We start from the raw sequence: 17,154 nt of genomic DNA, 5'->3' as shown, positions 1-17,154 counted from the left end.
ATTCTACTCATTTTTTTGAGGATAAATGATCTCAGTGGTGAAATATTGTCATGGGTGAGCAGCGACTATCTGGGGCCAGCGGCTCAGGGTAAAGACAATTGTAGGTTAAGAAAGGCAGATTTAGGCCAGGTGCAGTGGCTCATGCCTGTAATCCCAACACTTTGGGAGGCCGAGGCAGGCGGATCAGGAGGTCCTTGAGGTAAGGCCATCCTGGCCAACATGGTGAAAACCCGTCTCTACGAAAAATACAAAAATTAGATGGACGTGGTGAAACGCACCTGTAGTCCCAGCTACTTGGGAGGCTGAGGCAAAATTTCATCTCAAAAATAAAAAAAAAAGGCAAATTAGAGAAAGTAGGAAAATACACAGCAAGGAGGCAACAGGCAGGCCAGCAAGAGAGGAGCTGACTGCAAGGAGACAAAGGCTTGCTGGGGACTTGATAGGATGGTGCTTGTGCTGTGTGCTGGAGAGAGCGACGTGCAGTACTGACAACACCGAGGCCGCGGTGTGCTGGAGAGAGCGACGTGCAGTGCTGACGACGCCGAGGCCGCGGTGTGCTGGAGAGAGCGACGTGCAGTGCTGATGACGCTGAGGCCGCGGTGTGCTGGAGAGAGCGACGTGCAGTGCTGACGACGCCGAGGCCGCGGTGTGCTGGAGAGAGCGACGTGCAGTGCTGATGACGCCGAGGCCGCGGTGTGCTGGAGAGAGTGACGTGCAGTACTGACGACACCGAGGCTGCAGTGTGCTAACTTGCATTTTTCTATCAGCCAAGGGTCTAATGACAGCTGGACACAGGAAGATTGTGAGTTACTTGTGCAGCAGGACTACGTGTTCTGGATCACGAAGACAGGCAGACTTGGAGCTTCTCTGCCTTCTCTTTTTGCTTTCCCTGGGTCCTGCCAGCCTGACTCCTCATTCCTAATTAGGACTCCGGGAATCTCAACCAGCCATCAAGTGTTAGATTCTGAGCACCTGTGCAGGGCTGCAGGTGACAGTCGATAATGAGGCTCATCTTCCTCACCGCCGTGTCTTTCTAACCGTTTGGCCTTCTTCTGATGGTGGCTGCAACCTCATCAATGGCCAGCATGGAACTAACCCATTGGGTTATGTTTTCATTCCTGTTTTTCTTTACTTTGCTTAAGCAGGAAGTGCAACTGGATCGGGGAGCCTCTCCGGGGCTCTTTTTAATTCATCTCTGCGATTCTTCAAATGGTAGGTTGTTAAACCATGAAGCCAACAGACACCTGGCTGCTTACTGGATTCAAGGCACTGGGATGCTTCACTGAAAATGCCAGTTCAGGGCCCCTCCTCTCCAGGAGCCAAAATTCTGGAGTGGGGCTGGGAGACCAGAAAGAAACAAATTAAACCAGCACTCACCGCTAAAAACAAGCATTGCAAGCAGTAGTGCAATTAGATCAAAACACACAAATCAAAGATGGCTCAAGGGCTTTCCAGTGTTGAGAAGGGCTGGACCCCGCTGTTTGTGAGAACTCAGGTTTGCAACATCTGTCCTGAAGGAGGCTCTGGACACCAGGAGAGGTGAGGTGACCCTCAGTCCAGGCGGAGACGGGGAAAATGAAGCAAAGGTGTTTACCAGAACATACAAATAAGTCTGCAGTTTCCACGGCTTTGTCTGTCTGCCTGAGAGGCTCCCATTGTATGGCCTCCTAATATGCTTGTTCTTCTCAATTCAGCCATTCAGGGGTCCTTCAATCGATCTGTCTGTCACAGGGGTGATCTCTGGGAAGCACCCTCCTCTGCAGCACCTTCAGACCTGCATGTACAAAAGCCAGGAGTGAACCACTGCTCACCGCACACAGGGCTTTGCCGTGAAGCTGGACTCACAGTGCTCAGAGTGAAGTGAGAATGGAGAACAAACACGTGCATGACTGTTTTAGGAAACTTTAGGCCTGAAACAGGTCCCTGAAACAACAGAGAAACTGTGGGTTTCCTTCTCCTCTCCCCACCACCCCCTGCATGCGGCAGACACACAGGCATGCGTCTGTTTACTTGCATGAATGCATGTCTGTATCTTGACCAAAAGTTAAGTCATATCTGAAGTCTTAGCCCAAGTTTTCCACAGGGCCATGGGCACTCGGGGACAAATTTAGCCTCTAGTAAAAGAGCAAAGTCTTCTGAGGCCAAACATTAAGCCACCATTTACCCAAGGACTGTATGGAGCTGGAAGTGAATACCACATTGTCTCAAACTGTGGACTCATGTCTTTGGTGTGAAGTTTCCTGGTTTCAACTACCTCTAATGATATCCTTCCAGATGGAAGGCTAAGCCAACTTGATTTGGACCACATGTCACAGATGCTGGTATGTGACATGGTTTGAGAAGGCTCAATCTGCCCATTGATTGAGAGTGTTTTTAGGGACTCATATCACACAGGCCCTGGTAACCATTCTCCACCCACCTCCTCTGTGCCGCCGTAGGGAGGCTGCAGCCAGTAATTATGGGCTCAGCCACGGCTGGCTCTCACCCAGATGTTTACAGTCTCAGGGAGGCTGGATCCCAAATCCAGAGTGGTCACTGCAGACAGCAGAAGTAAGGAAGGCTCCAGCCTGATTGCCTGGGCTTCTGGATCCACGCTCGTCGATGGAGCTTTTGTTCCCTCATGGGGCAGACAGTCCAACAAGTGGAGAAAACGGTGGGATTTTAGCTTCCTCCTGCCTTCCAGGCATGAAATGACCCAGGAGCATTTTAGGGCACTATCCAGTAGGATCATGGTGTTGGGTGTCGTTTAAGGCTTCAGGGTATAGGGGGCCATCTAACGGAAGGACAGCTCTAGAGCTGTCAGGGTGGGCTGGGGCTGGGGCTGGCCAGGTCCCTCCAGGATGGCAGGCCTTCAACTAGTCTCCTTGAGAAGGCCAAGGTTGGAAATAAAGCCTAGTCCCTGAAAACAAGGGGGAGAAGGTGGCATCTGTGTTGACACCACCCTTGAATTTCCATTTGTAATATAACTTTTGTTTGTATCCATTAAGTCAACTGCCAAGGTTTGAATGTTTGTCCTCTCCCAAACTCCTGTTGAAACTTAATCCCCATGGTGACAGTAAGAGGATAGGAAATCTGCCTCTGCTATTGGAGAGTTGGAAGCTTTGGGATGTGATTAGGATTAGATGAGGTCGTGAGGGTGGGAAGGAGCAGCTTTCCAAGGGGAGAAAGGGAGGGCTTGACTTGCAGGCTCAGCCTCCTCACTCTGAGATGCCTGCACCCCCATGAGACCTTGCAGAGTCCCCACCAACAGGAAGGCTCTCACCAGATGCCGCCCCTTCTGGAGACTTCCCAGCTTCCAGAACTGTAAGAAGTAAGTTCCTGCACCCCCATGGGACCTTGCAGAGAGTCCCCACCAGCAGGAAGGCCCTCACCAGATGCTGCCCCTTCTGGAGACCTCCCAGTCTCCAGAACTATAAGAAATAAATTCCTTTCCATTGTAAATTACCCTGTCTCAGGTGTTCTGTTATAGCAACAGAAAACAGACCAAGACATCAACTTAATAAACAAATTTCATTTTACCTGATCGTTTAAAAGTTTAGAGAATCCCTTTTCGTGGTGTTTCTCGCTATTCCTTTTTGTACTTTTAACCAATTTTTGCTTCTTACAAAAATGGTAAAGCATGTTATTTGGGTATGTTATTTGGGGCATAAATATTTGTGATGGGTGCTTTGTCATTTTTTCTCCCTGGGTACGCACATTATTATTTTTTTATCCTGAATTTCTAGAAGTGCAATAGGACTGTCATATTATCTGTTGAGTCTGGAGCCATGTGTGATGTTACCACATGTGGCCTTGAGCCTCTCTCAGCCTCCAGCCCATAGTAAAATGCAATCATTACTCAAGGAACGAAGAAATACATGCACATCCAAGAGAAGGAACAGCCTCAGAAGTTTGGATTTCCGCGTTTGTGGGTTCTGAGTCAGGCCAGGGGAGTCAGTCACTTCCACTCCCTCACTTAGCAACTGCGTGACCTTGAGGACCATGGTCTACCTCTCAGCGTCCCTCAGGTGTCCACAGGACATTCACTGAGGCTGCTGGGCTGTTGTGAGAACTGTCCTGTTCAGGGCTCTGCACAGAACCGGGCACAGGAGCCGTCCGACGCCGTGTGCTACGTGCCTGTGCCCGGGTCTCTCTGCCCCAAACAAGGATCTGGGTCACAGCCTGTGGATTCCCTATCTGCTCACTGCACACTCCCCCACACACCCAACCTTAATACATTTTCTGAATTAATAAGCAAGGCCGTCAAGTTCTCTCCTCTTCCCCACGTCCCTTACCTGTAAGGAGGAAACACTGACCAGCTTTGGTGCTGCCCCTGTTGTCGGGCCTGGGAGCAGTGGCTGCTGTCTCACCAGCAATCTCTAATGGATACAGAGAAAAGAGTTACTGATTGACCTTTTTTTTTTTTCCTGCTTTGCAATCTCACTAAAGCATTTCCTTTCCCTACCCCCATGCAGGAAGGCGAGAGCAGCATTATTCAGTTTCCAAAGTCTGAGCTCTCCTCACACCCGCAGGACTGGGGCCTGCAGCCAGTGGGGGTGGGGGAGGGCGGTTAACACTTGCAGTGCCCCGGGGGTGGGTGACCTGTGCGCTCTCTCTCTCTCCCACGGAAACACGGAGGCCTGAAAGACGGCAGAACCGCACAGGGGCAGGACACACACGGACGCGGGGGGACGCAGGAAGAGAGTTACCAGATAAAATAGGGATGCCTTTTTAGTATAAGTATATCCCATGCAATATTTGAATTTCAGATAAATAATTTTAATATCTACATCTCATGCAATATTTGAACTTCAGGTAAAAATGAATAGTTTTTAGTATGTCTTGTAATATTTGAATTTCAGATTTAAAAAAGAACTATTTTAGCATAGAATAGGTCCTGTAGAAGTAAAAAAAACTTTTTCATTGTTATTATGGGTTGAATAGCGTCCACCAAGAAGTTCATGCCCACCCGGAACTTTAGAAGGTGACTCCATATGGAAATAGGTTCTTTGCAGTGGTAAATAGTTAAGACGAAGTCATATTGGAGCAGGACGGGCCCTAAGTCCAGTGACTGGTGTCCTCATACCAATGAGGTGAAGACAGAGGAGGAGAGACGCGCAGGGAGGAGCCCGCGTGAGGGCGGAGGCAGAGACTGGAGCGATGCAGCCACGAACCAAGGGACGCCTGGAGCCCCCAGGAGCAGGAAGAGGCCGGAAGGGTCCTGGATCCTCCTGGGGGAGCCCCGCCCTGACACCTTGACGTTGGCCTTCCGGCCTCTAGACTGATAATACATTTCTGCTGTTTTAAGCGCCCCAGTTTGAGGTGATTTGTTACAGCAGCCACAGGACCATGACTAGAATTGCTTATGTAAAACGCACATTGAATCGGGCATCCTGTACTTTTATTTATGAATCTGGCACCTGTGCTGGAGAATGGCTCCCAGGGAGGAGCTAAACGGCTGGCTGGCCTCCCAGGGCTTCCCGCTGCTCTTCCTGCCCTAGAGTGTGGGTCGGGCATTCCTGCAGCTCTTAGAAGGCTCTGGTCGCCCCCGCCACGCACCTGTGTCGTCAACAGCTCCTGCCCACAGGAGCTGTGACCGTGCACCGCAGGTGTCTCCACAGTGACCCTGGTGGAAGGAGCACCAGACCCCCTCCCCCAAATATTTCTGATGGCTTGAGACCCCCTGAGACCCTTAACATACTCTGGAGGATGTTAAGGGTCTCAGCCCAACCCCCTAAAAGGGTAAAAGGACCAAAGTTAAATCTCTCAAAAACCCTGATGCATGGGGCTGGGCAGGCGAGAGTTGCAATTGGGATTGAGAAGAAACTGATAATAAAGAGAATTTCTCGTACACTCAAATGTCATGGGCTGAATTCGTTCCTGCTGCAGCTACCACCGCATGTGCCAGAGTGATTCGTGCCTCCCGGTAGAACATTTTCCATTTTCTCCTTCCAGGAGTGAAATGTGAACCTCCTCTTCCCCGTCCCGGGAACGGTGGCGGCCCTGGCTCCTGGTCGCCCAGAAATCCTCAGGCGGTTCCCAGGCACTGACGCGGAGGCCCGGCTTCCTGCGCTGTCGGGATGCAGGAGGAGGCCGGCGCTGAGCTCACCAAGCAGCTGAATAAATGCGCACGTCTGCGGGGAAATGCTTCCTCACATCTAATTGCCTGGTGATTAGGAGACCACCCACCATCTGAATTGCCTTCGATTTGTGAAGAGCCCTGGCAGCTCTCCTGCAAGATTCAGCGTTCAAAAGGAGGAAGGTAATCATCTGGAATTAAATTCCTGCGTTCCTCATCTGTCCTAGACTCACACAAGGGCCTGGCAGGCTGCACAGTTACTCACCCAGTTCACCCCCCAACCACGCACAGTTCGCACCAAGCCAGCAGAGCTACTGCCACCCCCCACCCAGCACCAACAGCGCCTGCATCCTACCCCGAAATCTCACCGTCTTTCCTACAGCAAAGCAACCATTGGTGTCCAAACATAAAGGAGCAAAGAGGCCCCCGGCAGCCTTGCTTGTGACAGCTCCAAACTGGCAGAAGCCTGCAGAAATGAGCGCTACTCAGAAATGGTCAAACAATTGCACCTGCCAGCCATACACCGCAGTTTCCAAAGGAGGGGGCCCTCTACATGTTACAGGAAAGATGCTGATGGCATTTTCGAAAATGAGCAGCAGATTAATAAACTCCAAAACGTTTCTGTAAATGAAAAAATGGCAGAACTGAATATGTGTTTAGCACACATGCACGCACGCGTGCACACACACACACACACACCCTGACTTGACAGCCAGGTAGAACCATGCTGGCTCTGATGTCTGCCTGTCTGGGTTCAAGGTCCTCCTCCCTAACTCACTATTTCTCCTCACTTTTTGGCGTGGGGTTTTTAAAAATTATTCTGTGCATGCTTTCACATCTGTGAAATGGGTGCAGCGGCAGTGTCTTCCCTACAGGTTGGCTCTGAGAACTGAGAGAGACGGAACGGACAGTGCTCAGCTCAGCACCTGGATCTAGTGAGCTGCCCTGGAGACCCCCGCTCCAGAAGTACCTTTGTCTATACTATTTTAAATTAGTTACAAGGTAGAAGTTTCATCTGAAGATTTTTAAAACTGACTGATGTCCATCAACACTTTTTTCCAAAGCTCATTGAACAGCAGAAATCCCCACTATAACTCCTTTTTCAGTGGACATCAGAATAACTAGGTATGTCTTGAATCAGGGGTCCCATAAACTCTGAGACTTGGGCTAATTCCTTCTTCCTTTGCTCAAGGGGCAGAGGGGATGTCCCCACCATGGTATTTCATCTTGGGACCTCAACCAGGTCTCTGAGTCCTTTCAGCATCCTTGACGGTGGTGCCCCCACTGGCAGTTCCCACAGGTCATCTCCTGATGATCTGATAGGTGGACAACGCCAGGTGGAGAGGTACCATTTGCAGTCATAAGTCTTTGCTTCTTAGAGGTATCACCCTGTTTCTAATCTGGGATAAATGGGTCTTTAACGATCTCAGTGCCATGAACATAAACAGCTCCCTAGGACTGGATGTCTCGCAGGTGCCCCTCGCCCTGCACAACAGCAGAGTCTGAGACAGAGGGAGGTTCATCACAGCCTCACCTGCCTGGCTCCAACGGCCCCTCCTCCATCAAAACTCCAAGCATCCCATCACCGCCTTCTCACATGTCACCTGTGAGAACTGGTAGGGTCCCCTCTTGGTTTTAGCCTCCTAACGTCTCTGTGAAAAGGAAGGCACCTTCGCAGATGGAGAGAGTCCCAGACTAGGGTTTTCCTGACATCACTCAGCCTCAAACAGCTGAAGAGCTGGGCTTTGAACCCAGATCCTAAAATCCACATTCCATCATCTTCTATATCAGAAATGATACATCACCTAAAAATATTTATATGGAGGGCACCTTCCAGCACTGAGCTGGCTGCTAAAAGCTGTCAAAGATGTGTCCTGAACTTGAACCTGCTTTGGAAGAAAAGTTCAGATTCATTAATGTTTAATAAAAATCTACTATTTTCCCCATTTGCTAATCTAATCTCTGGAGGAAGTTGGGAAGGGCCTCTCCGAAGGTGCCTGAGTCCTCTTTGGACCTAGTTGGGAGAATGCGGCTTCCTGCAGGGCCCTGAGGTGACAGTCCCCGCCCCACAGCACAGGGCACTTCCAGCTCCATCCTCCCGCTGCAGCCAGTGCCATTTTAACGAGCTTTTAAGGCTAAGTCTCCCTAAATCGCCCTCCTTTCCCATCTTTAAAAAAAAGTGAGGGAGGGTTCCTGCAGGAAATAAAAAGCTGCTTAGTAGTAATTCCTAGGAAACAGAATTGGCGTTCTGGGTAAGGAAGGCAGCCCCTCTGTGGTTTTCCTTGAATAGGCGCTGCCGTTGGTATTTAAAGTTGTCACAATGCTTCATCCTTTCCCTTTGATGTATCGCAGACCCCAAGATGCCAAGATGCCGAGAGTCCTCAGGCTGGGGTGGAATATTTACTTCGTTCTTTATGAGATAGAGTTGACTCCAAGCGGATGGTCGGTCCCTCAAATGCCCGTGGGTTTTGCGGGCTCTTTTTCTTTCTCCTCTAATCATTTGTCAAGCTCACGCAACTGGATTTCTTCAACCTTCCCAAGCGGCCTTTTTTGTACAAGCTCAGCAGGTGCCTCCACTTCCTAGGACAGCTGTACCTGCCCCAGAGATGTGGGCACACTCCTTGTCCCTGTCTGCTGGGCAGCTGGCCTTCTTCTTCACCGGAGCTGAGACCTGCAGAAGGGGGTGCCTGGAGAAACAAGAGGCTTTGGAAGCGTCAGGTGACAGGACCTGGCTGTGGTTTACATTTTTCACCTTAATTTTAACAAGTATTTCAACCCCCTGGAAAACTGCTTCTCTACAATAATAAACAGAACCTGCAGTGAGTCTGTGGCAGGCTCCCAAGCCCGGGTGGGGCTGGGGGCCATTCCCAGTAAGCTTTGGGAGACCTAACAGTAGTCAGGAACGCACACAGACAATGGGGGAGGGCTCAGAGGGGCTGCTTCAGCCCAACTGGCCCTAATTTAACAGGGGTGCAGTGGGGTTGGTGAGGTAACCTAAGGTTTTGAGTTACACATAAGCGAGTCAAATAGCATATAAATAACAGACGTAGCGTGTTACAGGGGAAAAGGGGGCCAGTGTGTGTCTGCCTGCCTGTCTGGTCTGTTATTCATCAAGCCAGTGTGGTGCCTTCTGTGGCTTGTCCATCTCTGTTCACAGCTCCAAAGTTAGCCAAAGGCCTGGTGACAAGACTTGGAAAAAGATGCTGAGATCCTGGTCCTGAGAAACAGGGTGTTACCGTGGAGACACCATTCATTCATGAGCATGCGTCAAGCACTTACTGTGTGCTAAGCTCTCTTCTAGGCAAAGGGGTCCGCAGTGAATGGAAACTCAATGAAATATGCCCCTTCGAGCCTCGCCTTTCAAAATGTGATCCATGACTAGCACCATCTGCATCCCCAGAAGTCTCTAGAAATGCAGTATCAGGCGCCTCCCCAGGCTGCAGAGCTGGAGCTAGATTTTAACAATATCCCCTAGGCCTTTTGAGTGGGCCATAAGGTTTAAGGAGCATTGCACTAGGCACGAAGAGAAGATCTAGGAAGGAAGATCTGAGCGGCCCCAGTGGAGCAGAGGTGCTCTCCGGTGGTATGGCGGGCAGCCAGGGTGCAGGGTGGGCTCAGCAGTGGCCGGGGCGTGGGGGAACCTGGCTGGTTAGTGCCAATAACCATGATGCAGGACAGCCTAGAGATGCATGTCTTTCCCCCGTGACATAAACAAAGTAACGGCCACCAAACGATGTCCACATCCTAATCCCTGGAAGCTGTGAATGTGACCTTACCTGGCGAAGGGACTTTGCAGACAGGATTAAGGACCTTGTGATGTGAAGCTTATCCTAGATTATACTCACAAGGGGTCCCCTATGAGAGGGATGCAGGAAGATCAGACAGGAGAAGGTGACGGGGTGACACAAGCAGAGATTGGAGTGGTGTAGCCACAAGCCAAGGGGCGTGGGCAGCCTCTGGACGCTGAAGGGACAAAGGTGGGTCCTCCCCCAGAGCCTGCAGAAGGAACAAGCACTGCAGACACCTTGACTTGAGCCCCATAAGTCTCAGTTTGGACTTCTAACTTCCATCACTATGAGAAAATATATTTGTATTGATTTAAGGGCCTGACTTTGTGACAATTTGTTACAGCGGCAACAGGAAACGGGTACACTCTTTCAACAGAGATTTTCGGGTGATGCCCATATAGAATTAGTCTCTGCTTAGGGAAGGGTCCCAGCATCCACCTCTTTTCACTTCTTAATCTGGTCCTGAGATCAGCCAAACTCAGGGACCACAGACCCAGGCTGCTCACATCCCCATTTTTGAGGGGCACAGAAAGTTCTGGAAGGAATATCTCAAGTGGCGTATGTGAGAAATAGAAGCATTAAATAACAAAGCCTCCAGGTTCTGTGTCTTACACCTCCTCAGGGCTCACAAAGCTCCTAGTTCTGGGTTCTGCATACAGTTGGCACTTTAATAGAGTATCTGCTGACTGAGGTCACATGAGCATCCAAGCTGAGCCCTCTGTCCCCTTCAGCTAAGGGTTCTGATCGATGGTGCCTTCTGTCCAAGAAACAGCCTTCTCCCATCCCCTGTTCGCTCTTCATACACTGGTTTCTTAAGGTTCTACTCCAGGTCTTCTCATGTTCCTCCTTCCCTGGGAATCTTGTCCTAAACCACCACACTCATCACCGCCTCTCTCCCCAGCCTGCTGCTCTCTCCTGAGTCCTAACCAGCTTGATGTCCCTGCCTGGACTCCCAGCACCATCTCATCCCTCCTTCTCACCCCTCTCCTGCCTGGCAGTCCCCAGGAATCATTTCCAACTCATCCTTCTTTCTACCTTCCATCCAATCAGCACAGGGACCTGCCAATCACACTCCCCAAATGTCTCTTGGATCCCGGCAGCACCTTATCACCACCACCCTGCTCCCGCATTCCCTGCCTGGATGCTGGTAGCTGCTCCCAGCTGGTCCCCCTGCAAGCTATGATGTCCTCCAACCCACACCTGATCACAACCAGCTCCTTCTTAAATGACTCTCCATTGCCCTCAAGAGAAGGTGCAAACATCCCCAAGACTGGCACCTGCTTTCCTCTCCAGCCTTCCTCTCCCACACCCCCTCCCCACGGACTCTCAGCCCTTAGGAATCCACTCAGAGATGTTTAATACAAGGATACCTGTTTATGCTAGGAGGTTTTGTTCTTTTTCTTATCTTCCTTCAAATTGGTATTCTCATTTACAAATGCCAAGTGTCTCCACCCAGTAAGAAGTAAACTTCTGCAAAATAACCATAAGCCATCAGGCACATATGATGTAGCAGGAATCATGCCCACTAATTTACATAAAATGCCTCATTTTAGGCTGAACACTCCAAACTTCTTTCAGTTCCTAGGCCGACCATATTTTCTTTCTCCTTGGGGACTTTGATCTGCAGTAATCGCCGGCTAAAACCTCCTCCCCAGCCCCACCTCTGCCAGGCCAACATCTACCTGTCCTCTGGATCTGGAATCCATGGTCTCTTCCTTGAAGACAAGGAGGAGTCCCCGAAATTCGCTGTCTTGGTGCCCTGTATTTGCCCCTGTATTTTCCCCAAGGGGAGGACACATACCTGTTCTCTCCCCAGTGAGAAAGCGTGGTGAGAACCCGTCCTTCCTGCCCATCTCTCCTCTCTCCACCTCAAACTCTCTCTCCCCCAAATAAAAAGGGGGAGGAGTCATACAGCTATTTTAGTTTTTTATTAATTTTTTTTTTATTTTTCGACATGGAGTCTTGCTCTGTCACCCAGGCTGGAGTGCAGTGGCGCGACCTCGGCTCACTGCAGCCTCTCATGCAGCTATTTTGAGCAGTGACATCTGACACAAGTGCATGATAACTTGACTCAGCATCCTAGAGGCGAGTTCTGTTCTCTGCCTCTTCTTGGAGCAGCTCCCATTTTCACTCCTGGATGTTCAGCACCTCAGCCTGCACCTGCACAGGTAAGCTATGTCTATCCTTCCTGATGAGGGTCCAGCCACCTTCAATTCTGGCAGAGACAGGGAGAAGACAAGGGAAGCATGGGCTATCCCAGAACACTGTCTTTCCCAGAGGCTTTAAGTTGGATGCGTCAATAACCCCACTCATGAATGAGGCTTCCATCCTCATCTTGAGATATACATATGTATTTTTTAAATTTGCTTATTTATTAACTTGTCAACCATGAGAAACTAAACAGGAGGAGGGGTAACTTGGGCACCCTCAGTCTTCGTTAAAGCTTGGATGATTATCTCTCTTTTTTACTAGATTCAAACTTTCATCAATACATGATTTCTATCAGTCTTGTTCACCACTGTGTCTTCAGCAGGTAGCACAGGCCTGGAATCAAGTAGGTTAACAGGCTTCGCTGAATGCATTGATCCAGGTTCCCAATCAGTATAGACAAACAGCTTCTCAGAGGGCAGATGACCCCAGAAGTCACCAACCACCAGGCTGGATCTGAACCTGTGACCTACTGGAATATTCCACTACCTACATCTGCCCACCTCCCCTGCCAGTAAAAGCCAATTTGTAAAATTACCCAACAGTCCAGGCAGACAAGCACAGGGATTGTTGGCCGGCTCTTGTGTGCCAACACAGCATGAAATACCTGTTTCTCAAGGACCCGGGAAGGCCATCTCCGTGCTGTGGGCTGCATCTTCCTGCTCCCCTGAAGGTTTCTAAACAACCCACTGGCCCAAGGCCAGGGAAAGTAAATGCATTTCTTCCCAGCTATGTGTAAAAGAGGTTTAGGGTTTGGGATCTTTGTATGCAACAGGCACCGCCTCGTTTCTTTTCATAAGTAGCCTTGGCCACCTCATTATTAAATGGGAGAGGATAAGATAGTGGTACCCATGTTGTGGGGCTGCATGGAGGCTGAGTGAGCATAGTGAGAATTTGGACATGAAATGCTGAGCACGGTGTTGGGCACATGCTGCTGTCCATCACCTGTTCACACTCATCATCTTCACTATCACTTAGCACCCCCAGCACACACACCCCTACCTACAAGCCCTGTTGTAATCCCTGCTTTCAGATGAGGAAACTGAGGCTCAGGGTGGCACAGCTTTTCAGCAGATGGAACAGAGCCTTAGCCCTCCAGGCAGTCTGACGTTACACCCAGAACCTTAATCTCTGCCTTAGTCCAGCGTGATGGGGCTGAGGGTGCTGTGCTGAGACTACAGAGCCCCAGGTTCAAGTTCCAGCCTTAGACAGCCTTGAGCAACTCACCTTACCCACCACCCCATGCCTCAGTTTCCTCGTGCATAAAATTGGGAGCTCTTTTAGGCAATGTTAAGACTTCTCCTAGCTCTAACAATACGCAAGCCCAAAGAGGGCTGTGCACATTATGGCCTTTGTTTTCCAGATTCGAATGTGCCCCCCAGATCTCCACGCCGTGCAATTTCTCGGACAAACCAACTCACGTCTTCTTATTGGTCCCATGCACCCGTGGGATCAGCAGATGTAACATTCTGACATCACACTTAGAAAACTTCCCCCATCTGGATTTCTGCAACCCACAGGGAGTCATTTGCCAAACATATGTTTTACAAAACATGGGCCCACTGCACTCTGACTGGTTGTGGAGTCGATACAACCCACCTTTTCCCCAAGCACATGACTCTGGCCCATGCATGCTGTCTGGCTGGGGAGAGAGATGCAAGACTACTCATGTCAGGAGCGCAGGGTGGCAGGAAACGTGCAAGGTCACACATTGCTAAAAATGTAGGCGAGTAACGTGGTGGTAACAGACACACAACGGGGGTCAGTGTACAGTGGAGAAGAATTCTAGTGTCAGGCCAACTATTGCTGTCAGGAAGAGCATTGAGAAGCGTTTCCACATATCACCGCTCACTTTTCCAGATGACATTCAAGAGAGGAAGAGGCAGCGGACATCACTGGCCAGTGAAGTTAGGAGGCTTCGGAGGCTCCAGAGTCATGACAGATGTTTTGAACCTTGTAGCCAAACCCCTCCACGCAGAAGTTAAAATGCCCACTTTCTCTGGAGCACAACTTTTTAAAAAATTGTTTTTTTTTTATATTGTAGTAAAATATACGTAACAAAATTTACCACAATAACCACTTTCAAGCGTGTAGTTCTGTGGTGTTGACTGTATTCATACTATTGTACAACCATCACCACCATCCACCTCCAGAACTTTTTCATCTTCCTAAGCTGAAACGCTGTCCCCACTAAATTATAACTCCCCATCTCCACCCCATAAGTCCCTGGCAATCACCCTTCTACTATCTTTTTCTTTTTGTTTTTCTTTTTTTTTTTTTTTTTTTTTTGAGATGAAGTTTTACTCTTGTTGCCCAGGCTGGAGTGCAATGGCACGATCTTGGCTCACTGCAACCTCTGCCTCCTGGGTTCAAACAGTTCTCCTGTCTCAGCCTCCTGAGTAACTGGGATGACTGGCGCATGCCACCACGCCCAGCTAATTTTTGTATTTTTAATAGAGACGAGGTTTCATCATGTTGGCCTGGCTGGTCTCAAACTTCTGACCACAGGAGATCCACCTGCCTCGGCCTCCCAAAGGGCTGGGATTACAGGCGTGAGCCGCTGCGTCCGGTGCCTTCTACTTTCCGTCTCTATGATTCTGCCTACTCTAGGTGCTTTATCAAAGTGGAATCACACAGTGTTTGTCTTTGGTGACTGTCTCTTTTGCAGAATGTCCCCAAGCTTCATCCATGTTGTAGCAGGTGCCCACCCTTCATTCCTTGTTAAAGCTGAATAATCCTCCATTACTTGGATGCACCATTTTCTTTCTTCATTCATTCACTGATGGACACGTGGGTTGCTTCCACCTTTTGGCTATTGTCAATAATGCTGCAGCGATTCCCAGGCTGGCTGAGTAATTGGTAGTCTACAAAGCTGCTTGGCACAGCGTCCCCAATCTATAGAGAGTAGTTGTGGGTTCAAAGAAAACCCACAAGACTTTAGAGCCAAAATACATCTGGTTTCCAATGTTTGACTGGCCAGCTGCAACTTTAGGCAAATTTAATCCTCCTGAGCCTCACGCTGCTCATCACCAAACTGGGAATTACAGTAGACAGCACTGGTCGCTGTCCCAGCATCCACACTACCTCCTACATCCTAAGCGAATTCTGATTTCTTTTTTCAACTTTCTTCCACGCCCAGGTGATCTCAAGGGGCTGAGACATTCATAGTTCCAGGGATGGGGCAAGTCCCGCCCCCTTGGCAATGATTGGTTCAGACACCCAGGCTTCAGCTAATCGGTTTCTAGCAGTGCCTTAGCAACTGTTGCTAGTGTTAAGCCCTTGATCTGAGTGGCCCAATCAGGTAGAGGATGGGCTTTTATTCCAAGTTGGAGAAATGACGCTCCTCGGAGCTAGGAAATGAACAAGAGTTTCTGCAGCTGCTGATGCTGCCACCATCCCGCAACAACGAGGGAAAGAGCATGAGAACGAAGCCCAGGCACAGAAGAAAGGCAGCCATAAAAGTGTCAGAAAAACGGAGCCGGAGCCTGATTATCCTCCTCATCTTGGTACACACTCACACTCACACACTCCCTATGTCTGCGGACTGACAGTCAGAATATTCAAGCAAAACAGATCTCCTTAAATGGCAGTGACCTTACCTGAAATTTAACAGGCCTGAATTTACCGGTCTAAGGTCAACCAGGAAGGCTGTGTGCCTTCAAGCCCACCACTCAAAGACGCCAACCAATTCACCTGTCTCCTGTATGATTCTGGGTTCACACACATGGGTGCACAGACTCCCCCGAACACACACACACACACACACACACACACACGCACCTGCACGCATGCACACACACAATTAGGTTCAGAAATTAAACCTCAAAGTAATAGTAGGCCTCAATTATCCTACATAGCTGTGAAACAGATAGCCTGTTAGCTAGTCACTGGAGTACTGCTTGAAATAGAGATTTATTGCACAAAAAGCAGCACATACAAAAGTTTCTATGATCAGTATTACGGCTGATTGTGAAATAAGACATCATTGGAAGTGCACCAAAAATGAATAATGCAGGGACTGAACAGAGAAGCTGAGTGAAGAGAAGCCAGATAAAGAAGGAACACATATTTTTTCAGCCCACAGCTTCACCCATTTTCAGCGAAGCAAGGATTTCCCTTAGGGTGAAGGGAGAATCCTAGGTCTTTCTATTCCATTTCCGGGCATGACCAGACACCAAAATCATGACAGAGTAAGCTTGAAAAGAAAGACTTCGTGAAGACTGTTGGTCAAGACACAACCGGGGAACAGAAACATCTCGGCATGTACAGGAGAAGGAGTTTAATCCAGGAAGGAGATTGTGGCAGGTGGAGGGTCAGAAAAGCCACTGCAGTGTCAAACCACACACAGCGAATTATTCATTCAGATCTCATGACAAGAAAACTTGGTGTCTTTGTCTACCTGGGCTGCTGTAACAAAATATCATCCACTGGGCAGCCCATGCACAACAGAGATTTATCTCTGACGGTTCTGGAGGCTGGGGTGTCCAAGATCAAGGCCCTGGCCACTTCAGTGTCTGGTGAAGGTCACTTCCTGACTCATAGATGGCACCTTCTCGAGAGTCCATATATGCTGGAAGGGGCAAGGGGCCTCTCTGGGGCGTTTTTTATTATTTTATTTTTATTTATTTAATTTTTTGAGATGGGGTTTCAGTCTTATTGCCCTGGTTGGAGTGCAATGGCATGGTCTCCACTCACTGCAATCTCTGCCTCCCGGGTTCAAGCGATTTTCCTGCCTCCGCCTCCCAAGTAGCTGGGATTACAGGCGCCCGCCACCATGCCCGGCTCATTTCTGGATTTTTAGTAGAGATGGGGTTTCATCATGTTGGTCAGACTGGTCTAAAACTCCTGACCTCAGGTGATCCGCCCACATTGGCTTCCCAAAGTGCTGGGATTACAGGTGTGAGCCACCGTGCCCGGGCTTGGGGCTCTTTCATAAGGGCACTATTCCCATGCATGAGGGTTCTACCTCACAAACCACTCACCTCCCGAAGACCTCACCTTTTGATAGCATCACATTGTAGGTGAGAATTTCAATATTCAAATTTGAGGGAGACACACACATTTGGACCATAGCACACAGTTGGGTCATAAAGCCAGGGT

The 17,154-nt window shown here is 49.4% G+C and overlaps 1 long non-coding RNA gene across 2 annotated transcripts, besides 1 other annotated feature; it reads right to left on the bottom strand.

Moving 5' to 3' along the window:
- Positions 1-1,357: 1,357 nt before the first annotated feature.
- LINC02188 (long intergenic non-protein coding RNA 2188) lies at positions 1,358-17,093 on the bottom strand. 2 transcript variants are annotated; one of them, NR_135182.1, is made up of 4 exons: positions 17,037-17,093; positions 11,217-11,316; positions 4,275-4,358; positions 1,358-1,774 (listed from the first exon to the last, which is right to left on the bottom strand). It is a non-coding gene; the product is annotated as a long intergenic non-protein coding RNA 2188 (long non-coding RNA). The 2 variants fall into 2 exon arrangements; NR_135183.1 differs by lacking the exon at positions 11,217-11,316 and having other exon boundaries at positions 17,053-17,093.
- Positions 5,947-6,241: a silencer, noted in NCBI's record as "tiled region #159; HepG2 Repressive non-DNase unmatched - State 20:ReprD, and K562 Repressive non-DNase unmatched - State 21:Repr". NCBI's record gives its function as "represses a minimal TATA promoter and a strong SV40 promoter by Sharpr-MPRA in HepG2 and K562 cells {active_cell/tissue: HepG2 | K562}" and the evidence as "EXISTENCE:reporter gene assay evidence [ECO:0000049][PMID:27701403]".
- Positions 17,094-17,154: the final 61 nt, after the last annotated feature.

Source organism: Homo sapiens, chromosome 16 (assembly GCF_000001405.40).
Source record: "Homo sapiens chromosome 16, GRCh38.p14 Primary Assembly".
In the NCBI taxonomy this organism is placed as follows: Eukaryota; Metazoa; Chordata; class Mammalia; order Primates; family Hominidae; genus Homo; species Homo sapiens.
Note: the sequence above shows the minus strand (reverse complement) of the source record. Positions and strands in the feature narration are given on the sequence as shown.